The following is a 21157-nucleotide window of genomic DNA, read 5'->3' on the forward strand; positions in this document are numbered from 1 at the left end:
ACAATTTACTCCATTTAGAAATGTCTATGAACTCCATCAAATCTCTAGTCTATATTTATACAGAAAATTTTATTTAAAACTATCATTAAATTTTGACATCCTATTTCTAATAAATAAAAAGGAGCCTCTTAAACTAACTAAAGACCATATTAAAACAAGCCTTACATGAGGAATTTTTTTAAGTTGGTAATAATACAAATGAGAAGACAATTCAACACAGTGATTACCCGAGGTGGAAATCTAGATTTGAACAAAAGCTAGAGGTTAGTACTTCCATTCCTATGATAACTTTTGCAGTAGACACGGGCTGACACTCAATTTAATTCCTAGTTCTAATGTATTTTAATTTGGCACATTTTGATTTAATTCAATTTTAGTATATTTGAATTCGCTCTTTCATCTTGTTTTGTGTATGACCTCAATTTGACTTCAAGTTTCACTTCTCTGTAGAGGAGTCTTGAATCCATGCAAGTAAGCTGCATCTTGTGTCTTCAGAATTCAAGCTATATGCCCAGTGGTATATACTTCCTCTGAAGAATGGCAACAGCACACCACTCCACATACGCCACACCCTTACTGGCATGGCTAAAGGACCACATCATTTCACCCACAGGAAGTGCTTGGGAACTGACCAATATTTGGATTCAGTAAGATTAGATGCTCAAATAAGCTTAATTCTGAGGGGAAAAATATCTTATAGCTATATTAGGTTGTTAGAGCTGCCATAACAAAATATCACTCACTGGGTGGCTTAAACAATAGAAATTTACTTTCTCACAGTTCTGGAAGCTAGAAATCCAAGATCAAGGTGTTGGCAGGTTTGGTTTATTCTAAAGCCTCTTTGCTTGGCTTGCAAATGGCCACCTTTTTGCTGTGTTTCCTCTGTGTGCGTGTGACCCTTGTGCTTCTCTGTAAATCTAAATTTCCCCTTGTGAGGACGCCAGCTAGATTAGATTAGGGCCCACCCCAATCACCTCATTTAACTTAATCTCCAAATACAGTCACATTCTGAGGTACTAGGGATTAGTGCTTCAACATACGAATTTGGGGGAGACATAATTCAGTCTAAAACAACAACTAACTAGTTTCATGTATTTCTGCCCTAAGCACTAGTTTAGGCTTTGTTCTGTTCATCTTAGAGCCGATAAAATCTCTCTCAGCCATCCTTCCCCCAAGTAACCCATAGTGAGAAGTGATTGGGGGATTACATTCCATGCAGCCCTCCAAACATTATGTGGGACCCCCTTGGGTACTTAATAAAGACATTCACAGTGACCCATCTGTTGTACAATTAGATGTTTGGGAGTCACCAAAGTTGTTCAGCAACAAGTCCTACTGATTGCCTCTGAAACCAGAGAGAGGCTTTCACAATTCTTTTTTTCCTACAGCATACCAGTTAAATTAGAAATATGCCAGGACATATCTGAGGAATCCTTTCGGTCTCTCCTGGAGTAAGGTAGTATCAATGGTGAGGAAACTATTGAACAAAGTGCTCAACGACCCTTTAGTATTTCTGACAAGCAATAATACAAGAGTTAAGACAGGAGAAGCCTGGAGCTAATTCTTGCAGCTTCCAGTGAAATGTTGGGGAGTTTTTTCTTCTTAAATACTGTTGCATATGATGTGTTAAACAAAAAATTTTAAAGAAAATAAGCCAAATTAGTGGCATTCAGGTAGATCTTCTCAGTCCTTCATGCTGCACATCCACCAAAAGTGAGTTTTACAACTAGTCTCATTGTAACACTTACGGTCAGACTGCAAAATGCACGTGATTTTAACAAGCATAAAATGTCGTTTTCATGAGACTGACTAGACTCTCCTCTTAAGAGTACCTGTAATAATCAGACAACTGCATACACCAGTCTCACAGGAGTTTTAATCTTCAAATGGTCATTTTATCTTACATATACAGAGTGTCTTACAGCATACAGCAATTTCCACTTTATCTGCTAGTGTTAGGACCAGCACTAATAAGAATGAAGAGTATGTTGTTTATCAGCCACAAAAATCTGTGTCTATCACCATGGTTTGACTCTTAATACTCTAATGTCACAAACAACTGGCTTGAAGAAGTGTTTTTTGGTAGGTCCTATATCTAACTGTTCAATCCACTGACAAAAAAAGGGAACTCTTCCCCACTCTAACCGGTTTTCCTAAATGTACGAGGGGTTGACATTAGCTGTCTCACATTAACTTTCAAAAGACCATCAGATGAAAACGTTTCATCAAAAGCCACCTACTTAAGTATGAACAATGACCAAAGAATGACAAATCAAAATTCTGGGCACTATACTAAGAGAAAACTCTTCCAGAACACATACTTAAGAATTAATTTTCTCTCTGAATTTGGCCAAGTTTGGTGGTTTCATTCACAACATTTAAGGAAAAAAATGATGGTTTATGGCTAGCAGATAATAAAACAAACCTTTATACCACTTACTAAATAGAAACGGTTTAGGCTCACAAATATGTTAAAGCTTTCTCTTTCCCCGCAATGGTAGCCAAGCAGCATAAACGAATCAACATTTCCTCAGTTCAGACCTCAACTGGTTACAGGCAAGCAAGGGCTCCTCAGAATTTGCTTTACTAACGGTTTAGGTCAGAAATTTTTTTGAAGATCAAATGTCTTGCTATGTCTTTGTGTTCTTTTTCCCATCTCTATTACGTTTGTTGCCCTGTTGGTCTCCTAACACTTCCATTTTCTCCTTTTATGTTCCTGCTATGCTCTCCAAATGGCAGTAACCTGAAGTATAACTGATCACACCTCTTGTGATTTTTTTTTATTCTAGGACTTCCCAGATCTGGACTCCGAAGAAGACGCCCAGGTGCAAGCCCAAAGGTTACCTATTTAAATTTTCCAAGCACAGTGTGTAGAAAATCATTCCTCGCCCTTCATTTTGTGTTGCTTAACGGCGCTGTCGTGCCTAAACGTAGATACTGGCCAAGAGCTAGATTTCCAAAATGGCTTTGCTCCTTTCGAGCTGACATCGGTCTATAACATGCAATTTATTTCCCCTGCAGCCAATCTTTCTCTCTACTCCAAATACTACCCGATACGCAGAAAGCTGAACCTAACCCAGTGTAAACACCGACTCTCATCTGCTAAATTCAGCAAGGCCGGCAAAGCTGTTGCACTGATGTAAAAAGAGCGTTAAATCAAAAAACCAAAAAAACAAAAAAAAAAACAAAAAAACGCCAAAACACCCACACGAAGCCAACTGGAGGGGCGGGCGTCGGCCGGATCGCGCCCTCCCGCCGCAGCCACGCCTCCCCGCCGCGGCCACGCCCCCTCCGCCCCTCTCCGCGCCGCCGCCGGCGGCCTCCGCGCGGGCCTCCCAGCCCTTATTCCACTCACTTTGTTCTCCGCCTTTGTCCTAATCCACACCAGCAGGTGGAGCCGCAGTTAAAGTTTCCGAGTCCATTCCGGGAGCGGGAGCCCATCTTGCTGGCTGCCGAGGCCCTCGCTGGAGGAGGAGGGTCAGAACTCGGGTGCAGCCAATCGAGGGCAACGCTGCTACTTATCAGAGCAGAATGGGCTGTAGTTTAGTGAAATAGGAAAGCTGCAAAACACTGTGGAGTGCTCCCGTGTAAATAAAAAGAGGAAAAAAGTTTCTCAAGTCGCCGCTGCACGACGTCTGGCCGGCGCTGGAGCGGGGGTCTGCGCTCTCCCGAGCGGCCGCGCGCTGGACTTTATTGTGCCGCAACCAGCCCCAGTTCCCATTGTTTGTGTTTTTTTCAAAATATGGCAAAGGTTCAGGTGAACAATGTAGTGGTGCTGGATAACCCTTCTCCTTTCTACAACCCGTTCCAGTTCGAGATCACCTTCGAGTGCATCGAGGACCTGTCTGAAGGTGAGTGCGGCGCCCGTGCGCCCGGGCTGTCAGTTGCGGGCTGCAGACGTTGAAAGTTTCCCGGGCCGGGCCTCGCGCTGGGCGGCTGTGTTCGGCGCCTGGCGGCCGCGGGCTGCTCTGCGGAGGGAAACTTGAAGTTGATGGACGACGGCCGCCGAGGCGCGCGCGGCTTTCCGCCGCAGCCCAGGCGCCTGCCGGGCTCAACTTGCGAGGAACTTGTTTGAGCGGAGGAGCGGAGGTAGCCATGTTGTCAGCTTTGTCTGCGGGCGGGCAGCTCGGAGACCCGCACTCGCTCCCGCTGCGCCGCCTGAGGTCGCGCCGGGCTGGCTCCGCGCCGCCAACAGCCTCCGCGACCCTCCGGGCCCGAGCACGGAGGCTGGGAAGGGAGAGGCTGTGCGTGTGGTCGCGCCGGCGAGTTCGGAGCGGAGCCATCTTACCCCGAGTCGAGAATTGGGCCAGCGACCCCGGCGCACGGCGCCTCCTCTTGCCCCGCCGCCCGCCTGCCCCCGGCGAAAGGCAGGCAGGCACTCTCGAGAGCTCACGGTGGAGTCGCCGCACTCTCCGGGCTGGCCATGCCTGGCCGCTTCGGGGAGGAGAGCGAGGCTGTCCTCGCGCTGATTTCTGGCTTCCTCGACCAACCAGCGGGGGAGGCGGGCGCAGGCTCGGCCCCTCCGCGCCGCGGGCTGGGCGCCGGCGCTCCCCGGGGGCCGTGGGTCCTGTTCGGCCGGTCCTCCTCGGCCGGCGCCCGGGATGCGCCGGGATGCTGGCGCGCAGGCTCCCCAACCAACGTGGACTCCTTTCCCCTAATGACGAAAAGCTAATTTCAGGAAGAGAAATAGAGCTGAGGTAGGAAGTTACATTTAACCTAAAAGCAGAAATAAGATACTTAAATAATTTCCAGGACTTAATCTCTGCCTTATAAATAGTCTGAAGGAAGACTTTCTTCAAGACCGTGTTGAAATCTAAAATAACTCCACATCCAAATACAGAACACACCCTAAACATAAAACACAAACGTAGGCTAGGAAATTAAGGTCAACTCCTCATGTCAGTCCAAGAATTCTTGGTATTTTTTCTACATATATTTTAAGGTCTTAAAAATACGTATTTTTAATATCTTTAGTAATAAATATTTAGAAAGCTAAAACGACAATTATCTTTGCTTTAATTATCTTTTACTAAAGTAATTCAGTGCTTCATTTGCCAGTTTTGAAGGGGAAATAGTTTAACTTCATCGATGAGGGACATACTTTGAACTAGAAGTATATGTAAAAAATGCATTGAAGATGATTTAGGTAATCGTGGCATGTAAAACTTTTCATTTTAAAAACTAGTTTTTAATCTCTAAAATGTATATATCATATGTAAGGTTAATTTTAATTATAAAACAATATATATTCATTGTAATAAACTTTTAGAAAGTTGTACAGGCATATATAAAGTTAACAGTTCTCTGTACTCAGTGCCTTGCCCTATCTCCTTTCGGTAATCACAATTATTACTTTAACATGTGCCCCCGTTTTTTTTTTTTTTTTAAACCTATATAGAGCATAAATGCACATACATATATAGGGCAAATTTTGAAAGATGATTCATTTATTAAAATAATTTCAAATAGGCCATTGATAACACTAAGGGGTATTTTTCTTATTACTCTGAAGTCATTTGATTACTCTCCTATGATACTACTATTAATATAAGCATTGCAGCTACCAGGCCCATTTTTCACACCCAACAGTAATTTTTTTTTTATTGCCAACTGCATATAAAAATAGACAAAAGAAAAACCATTGATCGGTCCATTCCAACTTATACCACACTGTTTTTCAGATATACCACCAGAAGTTCTTCAAATTACAGGTATTTCTCAAGTGTTGCCTTCCATTTTAGGAGTCAGCTCTGAACAAAGAAGATAGATGACTCAGGATGTCGTTACAGGGCTTTTACATTGCATAGATGAAACCAGCCATTCATAAAGCCAAAACGTTCCATTTTTAACTGGGATCCATTCAGAACCCAGCTGAATCACATCAGGGATTTACAGTACTGGTGTCAAAAACATACTTATTTCCAATGGTATATTTCACTTCCTAGGCACCATTACTGAGCATTTATTTAGTATTTTAAAAAATATTTTAAGCTGAGTCATACTGAAGCTGCAAAGGAATCTTTCAAAAAGGTGCCATGCCTGTATACTCCACCTAGAGGCTATGTGGATTAAGGAAATTTTTACTTAGCAAAGGCTTCTAATAGGTTCCATACTTTTATATTACAGTTCTTTTAAAAATTCTGTTCTTAAAATTAAACTATAGAATTTTTTTTTTTTTAAATGAGACAGTGTTGCTCTGGCACTCAGGCTGGATGGAGTACAGTGGTGCAAACACAGCTGCTCCCTGCAGCCTCAACCTGGGCTTAAGCAATCCTCCCACCTTAGCCTCCTGAATAGCTGGGACCATAGTCGATGTGCCACCACATTGGGCTAATTTTTTAATTTTTTGTAGAGACGGAGTTTTGCCATGTTGCCCAAGCTGGTCTCGAACCCCTGGGCTCAAGCAGTCCTCCCACCCCTGCCTCCCATAGTGTTGTGATTATAGTGAGCCCACTGCACCCAGCCCAAACTATAGAATATTTTGAAAAGAATTTTCTTAATAAGTTATTTTGCCTCAAGTCTCAAAGCAGAGTTTGGCCACCGTTTTTCATACTTTCATCAGTAGCCCCAAACGTTCACTTTCCTTTAAGAGCTGCCCTGTAGCTTTGCTTCAGAAAAAGCCTTGAGGAATATTTGGTCTTAAGATAATTTGGTTCTTTCTAATATAGGGCTTATATCAAGGGTTAAGACAGCCTGAGACCCTGGCTGGATGTGCTTGATGGTCACCAAGACTGTACAAGTTTTGATTGACCATCCTGCCATTCTTAAATTTATATATATATATATCTTAATTACAGCTACTGTCAATTGAATACTTATAATATACCAGAATTGAGCATGGTGCTTCATACTTTCCAACTTCAGCTTGTTCTAATTCCAAAGCCTACATACTTTCCACTAGACCACAGGTCTTCCCAAGTAGTGTAATTAGCTAAAAATTCTCTTGATGACTTCCCTCATTCACTCACTCTTTCACCACAAATGTAAATACTTTCAGGCTGGGTAAATCATTTAATCATGATTACTGTGATTAAATAAAAGTTAACTTTAAAATAAATGAACAAATTTCTTCACCTGAGAACTTATGTAAAACATCTGACCTTACCCTTCCTCCCTCAAATACAGGGGGCAGAGGAATTAAATGAAAGCTGGGTTAAAAAAAAAAACAACAAAAAAACTGATGCCAATGTATAAAAGGGTATTGAGCATGTAAAACTCAGCAACTGTAGCAAGCATCCCATAAACATAAAAATCAATGTACAAGTGTTCCCTGAGTTGCAGCCTGTTCTTGTTAAGGCTAGATTCTCTCTCCATCTCCTCTGCTCTCACTTCCCCTGCAAATAAATTCCCTTATTCCACTGCTAATTTCAGAGCTAGAAAGAATTTATCTTCCCAGTTAGGTTTTCAGAAGAAGCCCGGGGTTTGTAGTTACAGAGGCATAGCTTGGATTCTGATTCTTTGATGTACAAATTATGAATTTGTGTAGATTACTTAACCTCTCAGAGTCTCAAGTTATTTGCATAATGGGGATAATTTGATCTACATGATGAAGCTGTTGAGGTTTAAACAATAGGTATGAAGTAGAACTAATGCCCAGTATATAGTAGGTATTTTCTAAAATAGGTTTATAAATTATGGCTATGTTCCTATGCCAGTCCACAAATGCGAATTTATACCACTTAGGATCAAGGGCATTATATGTAGTGATACAATTATATATGAAATTAAAATTCATGAAAACCTTTATGTAATAATTTTTTTTTTTTTTTTTTGGAGACAATCTCGTTCCATTGCCCAGGCTGGAGTGCAGTGGCGCGATCTCGGCTCACTGCAACCTCCGCCTCCAGGGTTCAGGCGATTCTTGTGCCTCAGCCTCCCGAGTAGCTGGGACCACAGGCATGTGCCACCCCTAATTTTTGTACTTTTAGTAGAGATGGGGTTTCACCATGTTTGCCAGGCTGGTCTCGAACTCCTGACCTCAAGCCATCCAGCCACCTTAGCCTCCCACAATGCTGGGATTACAGGCGTGAGCCACTGCGCCCAGCCACTCTATGTGATAATTCTTAGTCTTATCCTCACTTGGCTAGTTTAGTACCTTTCACATCACTTTCTTAAAACAGTTTCTTCACTTGGCTTTTGGGTCACCTACCTCATTTGCCACTTGTTTTGTAACTTAATTTGTCCTCTTATCTTTGGAGGGCTCAAATCTCACTCCCTAGAGCAAGCCCATGTATTTTTATGGCTTTACATATCATTGACAGGTTCCAAATTTTTATCCTGCCTATTCAGTATCTCTGCTTAGAAGCAGACATCTCAAATATGTCTAAAATGAACTCCTGATTGCTCCCCTACCCCACATCACCTCCCTGCAAAAGTGGCTCCTGCTGCTTTCATCTTCAGGATTTTATCCAGAATATAACTGTTGCACAGCCCCATGGCCACACGAGGTCCATGCCACCATAATTTCTTGCCTCAATTATTGAAATATTGTTTCTTCCCTTGTCCTCTTACACTCTATATTGAACACAGCAATCAAAGCATTCCTTTTAAAATGAAAGTTGGCTCCTGTTACTGCTCTGCTCAAAACCCTTCGATGGCTTCCCATGCCACGCAGTGTGAAAGCCAGAGTCCTTATGATGGCCTTCAAAACCGCATGATCTGGCTGTTCCCCTCATCCTCAATCATAGGGTTTGGTGCTTTCCTCCTTCCTTTCATTCTGCTCCAGCCCTAGCCTCCTTGCTTTTTCTTGCCAAGTGTGCCCTACCCCTGGGCCTTTGTATTTGCTGTTCCCTCTGGCGAGATACTTATATTGCCTACTTCCTCTCTATCTCCATCAACAGATGATCTCAGGAGATGTCAGATGCAGCACCCTGCATCTGGAAGTGTGCTGGAAGCTGGAAATAGAAATGGTTTAGTTCTAGGACAGAGCCATGACATAATAGGTCCTCAGAAAATGATTGCTGACTTAATAAGAGAAAATAAAAAAGGAGCTTTCAGTTGATTGTAGTTTACAATACAATATAAATAAGCAGTACGTTACTATTTCTATTATCAATTTAGGGAACAAAAATATCTACAGTTACACAAAAATGGCCACACATGGTGGCACTAACTAGATTGTCATGAGTGACCCAGAAACTCACCCTTTGGGAGTGCTTGTGTAACAGTGTGTTGAATGCAAGAGGCAGGCCACACAGTGCAAAATACCCAAAGAAGATGAAGAGGTCTCTCAGAGATGGTTTGTATTACAAAGTTATCTTCTTCCTCAGCTAAACAGGAGACTCCTCCAAAGAGTTCTACTCATCTCTGGGTTCACTTCACAGAACACATTGTAAAACATGCTCAGTAAAATCCGCTATATTGAATTACATATAACGCCTTGAATTGCACCTGAATGTCTTTTCCTCCTGCCTATCTCCACTGTGTATACTCTATTGTATCACGTGGTGTAAAGATCTTGGTTTCCTCTGCCCAATTTAAAGAATGTATGACACAGGGGGGTGCCGTAAGGGAAAAACCCTACCATTGTTCGTTGACAGTTGATGAGCTGAAGCCACTTACTTCTGAGCCATGAGGGAGGTTTTACTAATAATTTTTCTACTTTGGAGCTCTGTGATTATTTGGATCTCTGCAGCGTAGTATAGGGCTGCCCTTCCAAAGTGTGTTGAGAAGGGCCTTAAAAGATGATATACAAAAAAAGGGGGATTCCATAGCCAAATAAATTTGGGAAGTGCTGGATTAATGTTACTGGTGTTCTTTACTGAAGGATATCTCAGAAAACTTACTGTGCCAGCATGCTTTATGAATCCTCAAGACAAGGTTTACAGCATTTCCCAAGTGTTTGGCTATGTTATCTTGTTTGTGAGGCACTGTCCAGGAACTAGTGTTTCACAAAAGAGTATTTTGAGAAACTCTGATCAAAGTGTGAACTCTGGTAGGAACTTTATAAGGAGCATTTCACTGCCTTTCTGGATTGCTATGAGAAGCCAATTTTAAAGCCAGTAAGTGGCTAAGTGGACATTAAAAGGGTCTTTGATGTCATCTGGTAATGTAATTACTGAATATGAAATAATGCTTTGGTTTTTTAACCCTAGACTTGGAATGGAAAATTATCTATGTGGGCTCTGCAGAAAGTGAAGAATACGATCAAGTTTTAGACTCTGTTTTAGTGGGTCCTGTTCCCGCAGGAAGGCATATGTTTGTATTTCAGGTAAGATTAATCTTGGTAAATGTGTATGCCAAATATGTTTCGAAGTAGACTATATTATCTATTATCTTATAACCCTTATCCCTTTCCTTTTGGGTTAAAGAACTGCTTCTGCTGCATTCACTTTAAATCTGTTTCCATCATGTTTTAGGCAGTCTCTGTGTCACAGAGGAACTCTTACTTCCTGGTTTTATATGCTGAGAGATGTTAATGTGACGTTTACTTTAGAGAGATGAACAACCTACAGTAAATTTTATACTGTATCATGGCACACAGGGTGGTGAATTTGGGGCTCTTCCTGTGAATAGCACCTCAGTATCAGACTTCCAAGGTGGCTGTCTAGCAACCCAAAACATGGATTCAAAATATCTAAAACTAACTGGCATTGTTAGTAATATGCATCTTCAGTTTATGGTTTCAGCCACTGGAACTGATGGTGATGTAACAAAAACAACTTTATTTCAGCATAATCAGTAGTTGAGCTAGGTTAACAGATACGTTTAGTGGATAGAGATGTGTGGTCTTGGGTCATTGGAATGACATTCCAGAGTTTACTAAAGCATCTTATAATCTACATTATCTTATAAGAGGACTACTTTTGCAAATTTACTACCCCACTAGGTATTTGTGAAGAGAATTTCTAGTAATAAAAATTTTGTTCTTAGATACCACTGAGAGTATTTGGATCTATACCAAGGCTTCAGACATTGTCTTCTATATTCAAAAGTGTTATTTCTTTTAATCCATGTTAAATTGCTATATGGAACCATTCAGTTATTCCTCAATTATGCATGCTTATTTATAAGGGAGATGTTTGTAATAGACCAAAGAGTAACTAGCCATAGGTTTTTTAAAACTACTATTAATTTCTGTTACAAGTATTTCAACCCAGCAATGTCCCATCAGTTAAGTGGAACTCACTGAAAAGACTTAATCCAGAAAGAAAATCTAACTCTTCCTATGCCTGACCTCTGTTTTCTCACTTCACAGATGGGACCAATTTAAATGAATACCATTGGTCAAATAATCCCATCAGAAACTGGCAAAGAATCACTTAGACACATGCCATCTCTAGAGCTGCTACCTTTCCCTCCCCTGTCCTAAATACAGAATTTAGAATCTTGGTTTCCTAGCCTTAGTACTTTTGATTAAAAAGCAACAAATAATTTACTGTATCTAAAGAAATAGCTAAGAAAAGCTCAAATATACTAATCAAATATATGAATTAAAAGTGCTGTTAATCAAAGTTGTGTGAGTGCATAACCATGTAAAAGACATGGGTAACAGAATGCCCTGTTCTGTAGAAGGAAGCACTGCAGTTATAGATATAGGTCAAATCCCGACACCTCTGTATTAGCCATGTGTGGCTTTACCTCTCTAACCTCCTCCCTTAGTCATTCCAGTCTTCTATAAAATGTGGATAATATTCTATCTCATTAAAATGTTATGGGGAATAAAACAGTATAATCAGTCACTCATAAAGAGTGCCCTATTCCTAAAATTAGAACTACATTTTTATTCTCTTAACTTCTTGAAATTGTTATATAAAAAAGCAGGACTTGCTCTGACCCACAGGCCTAAGGAACCCATACTTTACTGATAATTCATGATACAGTAAAAGAAACCTGGGTTGACAGGTACTGATAATACTTTTTTTTTTTTTTTTTTGGCTACTATAAGAACTTACAAATAAATGCCTTGTTATTGAAACAAACCCTTGAAAATCTTTTGTGTTTGTTATTAAGCATACTCCTAAGCTTTTGGCTGAAAGTGCTGTAGCAAAAAAAATGTATTCAAAAGTATTTCCTGCTGGTGATCTTCACGTAGTTTTACCTTGGTGTCAGTGTACATGTTGCCAAAAAGAACAGAGGAGGTACAATGTATATTCAGCCTAAAGGTTTTACAGAATTCACCATTATCAACAGAAAGAGACTAAATTACAGCTTTTGTTTTGTATTTTAAAACTACTATAGTAATCTCTTGGTCTGCCATGATTTTGCCTCTCTAAATAGTTAAACATGTCTTTCTTCTGAGTGAGTCAAAGGCTAGCAGGAAGATGTCCAGACATCTGCCTAGTATTGCCAGCTAGAGTCAAAACAAAGATCTCTGCTCATTACTTCTGCATCCTAAATTATTTGAAAGGCCTGTAAGCTTCTCTACTTAAATTTGCTCAAACTGAATCTTTTTCAAATTGTAAAATGCTTTTTAAAAGATGTTTTATATTTACAACAGATTTTAAAACAGAAACATGCCTAGAACCAATTTACTGAAGGGAACCAATTTACTGAAGGGAAGGGGAAGAGTTCTCATAGCAGTACTGAACTATTATATATTTCCCATCTCCACCCACTTCAGGTATATTAGAATCCGTTTGGGTACACTGAAAGTAATCTAACCCCTCTGTGCAGGGGTGTGTAGAATCTCTAAGACAAACAGCATATTCTCCAGGACAAGGCTGGCTGTCCCCTATCCTGGTGTCTTGCCAAGAGATCATAAACCCCTTCAGGGCAGGAACTGATTTACAAATGAATTCCAAAATACTAAGTGCTCAGAGCTGAGCCACACGAGATTATAAAGATGAACTGGATGGGACTCCTGCCCTGGATAAAGCATAGCATCTAGAAGAGAAGACTGAAAAATAAACATGTTTAGATCACAGGGCATACGTTCTTAGATAATTTGTGACAAGAAATATCAGCACATAAAAAAGGAATCTATTGATTCTACCTTCTGAGTTAGAAAGGGCGTCACTGAGAATACACTCGATGTAAGCTCCAAAAAAGATTAAAAGATGAATTTTTCAGGATGTGAGCGAAGGACCTTTCAGGCCAAGGGAACAGTATGTTAGAAGCACAGGGGGTGAAGTATTTCTTTTTTAAATTTGTTTTTGTAGAGATGGGGTTTCGCCATGTGGCCCAGGATAATCTCAAATTCCTGGGCTCAAGTGATCCACCCACCTTAGCCTCCCAAAGTGCTAGGATTACAGGCGTGAGCCACCGTGCTCAGAGCGTGAAAAGATTATCACCACGTTTTAAAGAACCTGTGTGATTCATATCTCTAGAACAATGGTGGAGTTAAAGGAGGTATGAATGGAGATATTGGCTGGAGACAAACTGAGAAGGGCCTTGTCAATGAAGTTAAAGAACTGAGATTTTATCCCTTAGAAAAGGGAATACTCTTCTGAGGGTTTTAATAATCTGAGGTTTTAAAACCAAAGAGAAAGAACATATCTGTGTTAATGCTGGTAGCAGTGCAAATGATAGGCTAGAGCTGGGGAGATCAGTTAGAAAATTCTAAGCAATATTCCAGATAGGAGATGACATGAATTCAGCCTCCAGAAATGAAAAAAATGTTGAGACTGACTAGATGTAGGAGATAAGGGAGTGAAGCTGACTGAGGTTTTTAGCCTAGGACACTAGGTAGCGATTTTATGCCTTTTTGTATCATCTACCTGTGTTAGGCATACAGTAAACAACAGTCTTCAATTTTCACAAGCTAAGGCATTGGCTAAAGTGCTCATCTAGGCCCAGGAATATTCCTTGGTGCCCTGGCAACAGGTAAGCTAATTTGCTGGGACTTGATCCATTTACCACCCAGAATGGCTGCCTCAGATGCCTCAGCCATCACTGCCTGTGTTCCCCAGTCTGGCTCCTTCCATCCGGTCGTCTCATTACTACCTGCACCCTACCACGGATGGGGCCCTGCCCTTCGCTCATGCTCTTAGTCTAGTCTAACTCAGTTTACTTTCTGCATTCCTCAAGGTTCACCTTACAATAGCTTGATTTAAAACAAGGTCTTTGACATCTGCCTAAAGCAATCCTTACCTTCACTGGTTTCCACATTATGTGTGGTTTAAAGAGCATACTATATTGTAGAGTCTAGCAAAGTAACTATTCATAATAGAGGATTATTAATATTTTTTGAAAATCTGCTATGTAGCTATTTCCATCTCATTTTCAGTTTTGTTTTGTTTTGTTTGAGACGGAGTCTCACTCTGTCGCCAGGCTGGAGTGCAGTAGTGCGATCTCAGCTCACTGCAACTTCCACCTCCTCGGTTCAAGTGATTCTCCTGCCTCAGCCTCCCAAGTAGCTGGGACTACAGGCACCCGCCACCATGCCCAGCTAATTTTTGTGTTTTTAATAGAGATGGGGTTTCATCATGTTGGCCAGGATGGTCTCAATCTCTTGACCTCATGATCCACCCACCTTGGCCTCCCAAAGTGCTGGGATTACAAGTGTAAGCAACCACACCCAACCTCATTTTCAGTTTTATACTAATTTACTATTAGAATACCTGTGGGGGTGGTTGAGTGGGTATGAGAATATAAGTATCCTGGGTTGAAGAGGGAAACTGGTATAATAAACATTTGTGGCCAACAGTCTATGAGGAGATCATTTAATACTTACTAATTTAGGTCTGAAAATTATGACTGAAAAGGTTAAAATCAATTGCTGACTATAAAGGTTTTATAATGAATAGTGTATAATCCTTTCATGAACCACCATGCAGTGTAGCCAGAATTTCTTCCTTTTACAAGTGTAGTCATGCTTTCAAGTATCAAGGGTCCTTACATATATTGTGGCAAAACATGAACTGTCTTTTCCAGCTTATTATAAGTCAGTCAGAAATGAGCATTTTCCTTCCCAGTATGATTTCCAAGTTTTTCTTGTTGCATCCTCAACTGATGGTTCTAGGTAACTGAAACTCCAGTCTTGCCTGCCACTAACAGCCTTTTGTGTGTGTGTGTTTCTTTTCTTTTTAATTTATTCTAGGCTGATGCACCTAATCCAGGACTCATTCCAGATGCAGATGCAGTAGGCGTAACTGTTGTGCTAATTACTTGTACCTATCGAGGACAAGAATTTATTAGAGTTGGCTATTATGTAAATAATGAATATACTGAGACAGAATTAAGGGAAAATCCACCAGTAAAACCAGACTTTTCTAAGGTAATGTTCTTACTATTCCTTTTTAACTACTTTTACTATGCAATTTTTAAAGCAGTTGCTATTGCAATTTCATAGTATACTATTAAAATGGCTTTGAGATAAAATAAATATGAGGTCCTTATGCCAACTGGGCAAACTAATTATTGTTCCATTACCATGGATGACTTCAAACCCTACCTTCAGATGAGTCATTAGTAATTAATGTAGGCAGACACCTTGAGCATTTCTGGTTTAGAAAAATGAAAGTACCTCTTTTTTTTCTGAGATGGTTTCCTGCTCTGTTGCTCAGGCTGGAGCGCAGTGGCATGATCTCGGCTCACTGCAACCTCTGCCTCCTAGGTTCAAGCGATTCTCCTGTCTCAGCCTCCCAAGTAGCTGGGACTACAGGTGTATACCAACACGCCCAGATAATTTTTGTATTTTTAGTAGAGGTGGAGTTTCACCATGTTGGCCAGGGTAGTCTCCAACTCCTGACCTCAAGTGATCTGCCTACCTTGACCTCCCAAAGTGCTGGGATTACAGGTGTGAGCCACCACGCCCAGAGAAAGTACTTCTTGTAAGACAGGCCTTTGTTTATGGCTTTCTTTATAGCATTTCCCATATTGATTATTCCCATCATGATTCTGTTCATTTCAACCTTTAGGACAAACAAATGCATTTTTGTTGTACTAATTATTCAATGATGATATTTTTGTGTGTAACTCTTCCCAAAATTATGAAAGTTTTATGTTTGTTTTTCCTATGAATACGGTTATCTCAAAACACCTATACGCTTTATCTGCTATTCTTAGAAGTTAAACTAACAGTCTTAAATATTTCTGGTACTGAAAACAGCTTAAATTCTGAGTGAGAAGCTGAAATCTAGGATTCAGCATTCTTAAAGATACTTAGTATTTTCTGATTTTTCACTGGGAACTATAACAGTTTGGTAACTGGTGATTTTGTGAGAGTGCAGAGTAAATGAAGTTGAACCATGCAAGAAAAATTACATGACAATAGAATAGAATGTTCTCATGTTCTTTCTGATAATAAGGCCGGACTATTTTTCACCCTTGTTGTACCTTCCATTGATCCAATTTGTTATCCCTGAAGCACCTTATATAGCACAAAAGAAACAGGACTGTTTCTAAGAATGAGCCATCTTTAAAAGGTGTAGGAAACCATTAATAATAAGTTGTATTTGACAATTTTTCATTTTCCTTTGAAAACATACCAATCTAAACAACATAGTAGCTTGTTAAATAAAGCATCTTCTGAAGCATTCATTTTCAAAAATGAGGAGATTCTTTCTTTTAGAAAACAGAAGTATAGGAGTTAAATAGTTAAAAAGCCAGATGAATCCCCTCAGATTCTCCGTATCTTGTTTCTGTTAATCTAAAATAACTTCTTTGCTACAGCCCTAGTCGTTACATCTTATTAGTTATATTTAAGGTACTTAACTTGAATTATACCTTTGTATATGAACTTAGCCCTTTAGGAGTACTAACATGAACCATTTTATTAAGCTTCTATTTGTATATGGTGATTTAACTTTCTTAGTGTTTACCATTTGTATGTTTCCTTTTTCCTCTAGCTTCAAAGGAATATTTTGGCATCTAATCCCAGGGTCACAAGATTCCACATTAATTGGGAAGATAACACAGAAAAACTGGAAGATGCAGAGAGCAGTAATCCAAATCTACAGTCACTTCTTTCAACAGATGCATTACCTTCAGCATCAAAGGGATGGTCCACATCAGAAAACTCACTAAATGTCATGTTAGAATCCCACATGGACTGCATGTGACCACCTACCATCCCTTTAGTACAAATTAAGCTATTAAAAATACACAGAACTATTTCCCTGAAATTCCGTAAGTACATAGTCAAAACACAATGTGAAGAATTTGTTTAAAAACATCCTGTAGAAAGTTTATAAGAAAACCAGTATTTGAACAAATTGTGGAATATAAATACAACTATTTTTAAGTAATTTTTTTCTCTAATGTGTTATTTTATTTGTTCTGAAACTAATCTGATTAAAGCATATATATTATTTTCTTCTCCTTTATATGTAATGAAAGCACTTATAAAGAAACAGGAATCATTAGACCAGGTTGTAAAGATGTCTTGGCCTCCCAGACAGTCTTTGGACCACTATTTTACTGGCCTTTGAAAGAACAAAGTTTACTTCAACTAAAATGTTTCTTCCTGTGAAGACATATGGTATCATTTTAATTTAAGGGGCAGATTTCCATTCTTTTTTGGCATGTCCTTAAAAAGAGGATTTGAAATCAACTATATGCTACCAAGAACTTTAGGATCCAATTTTCCAAGCCACCGTGAAGCCTCTTATGGCTACTATTATAGTTCATGAGATGTTGGACAGCATTTGGTTTGTTTGGTAAGAGAAGAACAAATATGGCTAATTGTTAATAAGGTCCCCTGGCTATGGTTTTTGTTCTTATAACAGAGTTTAGAATATCAGAGCATTTCTTGAATCATACATCATTATTGTCCAGTGAATTCAAGACCAAATACAATATCGGGAGAAAATACAAACTCCCTGTGTTTAAGAATAGGGGATTACAATGGCTCAAATTGGTTCATTTGATTTCTAAAAATACCATGACCTTTAAAAATTCTTTTAATAGATCATGTTATTGGCAGTATTTATATAAAAACCATGGATTTAGAAAGGTATATTTAGCTTTATTATAATAGATACGTTACTATTTTGGAAATATATATATTTTCACACCTGTAGTACTCTTCCCCATTTCCTCTGACACTCATGCAGAATGAGATCAGGCATATTTGTGGTTGACATACTCTAGATAGCTTTTCCAACAAATCTTTGAAAAGCAATCTTGGAAAGGAATTCATTAACTAAATGGGGTAAAAGGTTTCTTTTTCTTTGAGAGTTAAGTCCTTCCTCAAAAAATTTTCTTATGCTCCATAAAATTGAGGTAGAATATTTTCATTATTCTTGCAGCTAAGCAAGACAGCCATATGATGCAGGTTATGCAGTGCCTTCATATCTAAAACTTTTATACTGCACTTTTTAAAGCTTTTATGTTGAGGAAAGGAAAAGGGCATTTGTCTAAACATGGATTCTGAGTTGTATATATTTCCTATCATTCTAAAAAAGTGAATTTGTGAAGCAAAGTTTTGCCAGATGTTAAACTTTGAATTTAATATACCAGATTATTAAAATATTGTCCATTAACTAGTTCATAGATTTTAAAAGTAAAATACTTCTGACTGTTAAAACTATATAAAGAAAATCTCATTTGTCTAATTGCAATTAAAAGAAAAATGTTAAAATATTAAAATGAAAATAAAAGCATTACTTTCCAACAAAGAGCTCAGTGGTTAATATAATAGGAACAACATATGTGCTTATTAGAAATAAAGCATATACAGCCAAATCACCAAATAAAGCCATTTACTGCTGAGTTTTTATTCTGACTAATTATAACAATCTATTTGTAGTGACATCAAAGGGTTAGGTTTTTGTATCAAGTTGTAAATGGACAACCAATTTTCACTTAAGCTTGGGACATGCGAACCATTACCTTTTGTTATCTTAAATTTTATCACTCTAAGAATTTTTTTAATGACTGAAAATAGATTTAGACTTCAAACATTAGAAACGTAAGAAACTGTAGCACATAAGTTTTTTTTCCACCCGGTCTAGCGTCATTTGCCAATACTGTATCTGAAGAACTATTTTCCACCCTTTTGCTCATAGTAAATAGCTGTGTCCTAAGAATATAAACATGAACCAATGACTTATGCCACTAAGATGGAGGCATTAAGGGTATTATTTGGGCTGAGAAAACATTCCAGAGGTCTGAAGAAGTATGCATGCATTTATTTGCCCATTCATAACCTTATACAACTTTAGGCTCCCATATAACTATACCCTCTAATTTTAGGATTTGGGGTTTCTAGCTTTCCCAAGAATGTCTATGGCAGCAGTTATCAAAACTTTTTACCATAATCCATGGTATAAAAAACTTAGGGCCGGGCGCAGTGGCTCACGCCTGTAATCCCAGCACTTGGGGAGGCTGAGGCGGGTGGATCATTTGAGGTCAGGAGTTCAAGACCAGCCTGGCCAACATGGTGAAACCCTGTCTCTACTAAAAATACAAAAATTAGCCAGGTGCGGTGGTGCACATCTGTAATCCCAGTTACTCAGGAGGCTGAGGCAGGAGAATCACTTGAACCCAGGAAGCAGAGGTTGCAGTGAGCTGAGATTGCATCACTGCACTCCAGCCTGGGCGACAGCACTAGACTCTATCTCAAAAAAAAAAAAAAAAAAAGACTCCATAACAAGTTTATATTTATGTTAAAAAATTTCATGAAAACACATCCTTAGTGCACCTTTACTATGCAGTATTTTGGTTTTTTTTTAATTGTATTTTACTTTGAAAGTGCTGGTTTTGACCCACTGAATTGACTTTTATGACTCTAATGGGTTGCAGTACACAATCTGAAGAAAGGCTAGCGTGGCCCTTTGGGTAGACCAGAAGTAGCAATAACTATTCTATAACCGTAAAATTTATATTCCCTATACTTGTTCTCTCATATTTGGATTATGATCTTTGCATTAAAAAGGAGGAAATGTGCTAATATACTTTTATACTAATTCACTAATCCAGTGAATCAGCAGCAATTCACTTTCAAACTGCCCAAATACTCTGAAATTACCAGTCATCCACTTAGATGGCTTGGACTCATTTCTTGACACTCTACATAATTACTTAGGAAACATTCCACATAATTACTTGGGAAGCATCTTTATTTGTTGTTGGTATCATTTTATACAGAACTCTAGAACACTGGGTCATACGGATTTAAAACGCATGGGAAATATTCTTTATATATTCTTGCCTAGTATCCTGAAGTTTGTCTACCCTTCTCAATTCCAAAAATCCATTCTTGTCAATGGTTAATATACTGTTGAGTTATATTTCAAAACCTGAGACCTCCTTAACAGTTTTCCACTTATACAGGACCATTAATTGGCCATTTTCTGTTGTATGATAAATTTTAAAGTGTTAGTTTCTCATTAGAAATTTGAGCATTCATTAGCCCAATGGAAGTTAATCTGACTCCCTTAACAAGTAGCAAACATTTTTAAAATGTGTGAAGCCAAGGGTCTGTTTTCAGAAGAACAGAAACATTACCCAATCAAAACTGTAAAAATACAAAATAGCATCAAACATATTTTTTAAAATAATTTTTTTCTAAATTCCCTGGGTCACTTTATTTATAATCAAATCTTGACATTCTACCTGCAAAGGCTTTTAAGTGTACTTGCTAAAGAATCATTACAACTTATGAATGAAGCTCCACATTGCAATGATGGAAGTATATTTTCCAAATATTAATAAACATTCCCTACCTAAGAAATTTCAGTAGGAGCTACTGTTGCCTATCAGATTTATGAGCATGAAAATGCCTTAAGCTCTATACCATCTATCTACTTGGTAAAGTGAAATATCCCCCTCTTTAGTTTAACATTCCAGTTGCTGAGTCTTGATAAAATGCCAGATGATACGGACTTTTTCCTGCATAAAAGTATGAAGGTAATCACTAGAGAATGAGAAAATTGAATAGGATTGTTCAAAACTAAGATGCAAAGTGAAGGTGGAGCTTGCAAGATATTTTCTTAGAGCTACCAAAATAACATTGCATATTTCCTTCCATTTTTAGTGGTAACTCAAAAATTAGCTTGAAATTTATCCTATTATAGGTAGTTTTTCATTAGAAAAAACCATTGTGTTAACTTCTGAAGTAATGTTAAATTACTTGAAATTGTCACATACAATACCTGCACTAGTAGATCCAATTCCTGTGGTCAGCACAGATCTTGGTGTAATCTTTGCTGCATATTTGAGGAACTGAGATTTCCCTGTGCCAGGATCCCCAACCAATAAAAGATGAGATTCTCCTAGGAAAAAGCAAATACATGAAGTTTTAAATTTCTATAAAAGGGTCCATTTGGAATGC

The 21157-nt window shown here is 38.9% G+C and overlaps 2 protein-coding genes across 19 annotated transcripts in view, besides 3 other annotated features; one reads left to right on the forward strand and one right to left on the reverse strand.

Annotated features, from left to right (window-relative positions):
- The window catches only part of MCM9 (minichromosome maintenance 9 homologous recombination repair factor), a 121705-nt gene that overhangs the window by 77217 nt on the left and 23331 nt on the right, over positions 1-21157 (reverse strand). For 9 of the 18 annotated variants that reach the window (NR_165493.1, NM_001378366.1, NM_001378364.1 and 6 more), the window contains one exon: positions 20979-21098. Coding sequence is in view for 16 of the 18 variants with exons in the window: in NM_001378366.1 (NP_001365295.1) it covers positions 20979-21098 (120 nt within the window). In the remaining 2 variants the exon portion in view is untranslated. Of the gene's footprint in view, positions 1-1854; positions 4655-19925; positions 21099-21157 lie in introns of those variants that run through there. The other 9 variants (NR_165494.1, NM_153255.5, NM_001378370.1 and 6 more) reach the window with 2 other exon arrangements.
- Positions 3216-3355: a silencer, noted in NCBI's record as "silent region_17504". NCBI's record gives its function as "represses an Ori minimal core promoter by ATAC-STARR-seq in GM12878 lymphoblastoid cells {active_cell/tissue: GM12878}" and the evidence as "EXISTENCE:reporter gene assay evidence [ECO:0000049][PMID:35858748]".
- On the forward strand, positions 3481-18500 carry ASF1A (anti-silencing function 1A histone chaperone). Its single transcript, NM_014034.3, has 4 exons — positions 3481-3851; positions 10095-10210; positions 14981-15157; positions 16731-18500. Exons 1-4 carry the CDS (start codon positions 3743-3745, stop codon positions 16941-16943), a joined length of 615 nt encoding a protein of 204 aa, NP_054753.1. The 5' UTR covers positions 3481-3742; the 3' UTR covers positions 16944-18500.
- Positions 3676-3765: an enhancer, noted in NCBI's record as "active region_25015". NCBI's record gives its function as "activates an Ori minimal core promoter by ATAC-STARR-seq in GM12878 lymphoblastoid cells {active_cell/tissue: GM12878}" and the evidence as "EXISTENCE:reporter gene assay evidence [ECO:0000049][PMID:35858748]".
- Positions 4146-4675: a silencer, noted in NCBI's record as "silent region_17505". NCBI's record gives its function as "represses an Ori minimal core promoter by ATAC-STARR-seq in GM12878 lymphoblastoid cells {active_cell/tissue: GM12878}" and the evidence as "EXISTENCE:reporter gene assay evidence [ECO:0000049][PMID:35858748]".

This window comes from Homo sapiens, chromosome 6 (genome assembly GCF_000001405.40).
Source record: "Homo sapiens chromosome 6, GRCh38.p14 Primary Assembly".
NCBI lineage: Eukaryota > Metazoa > Chordata > Mammalia > Primates > Hominidae > Homo > Homo sapiens.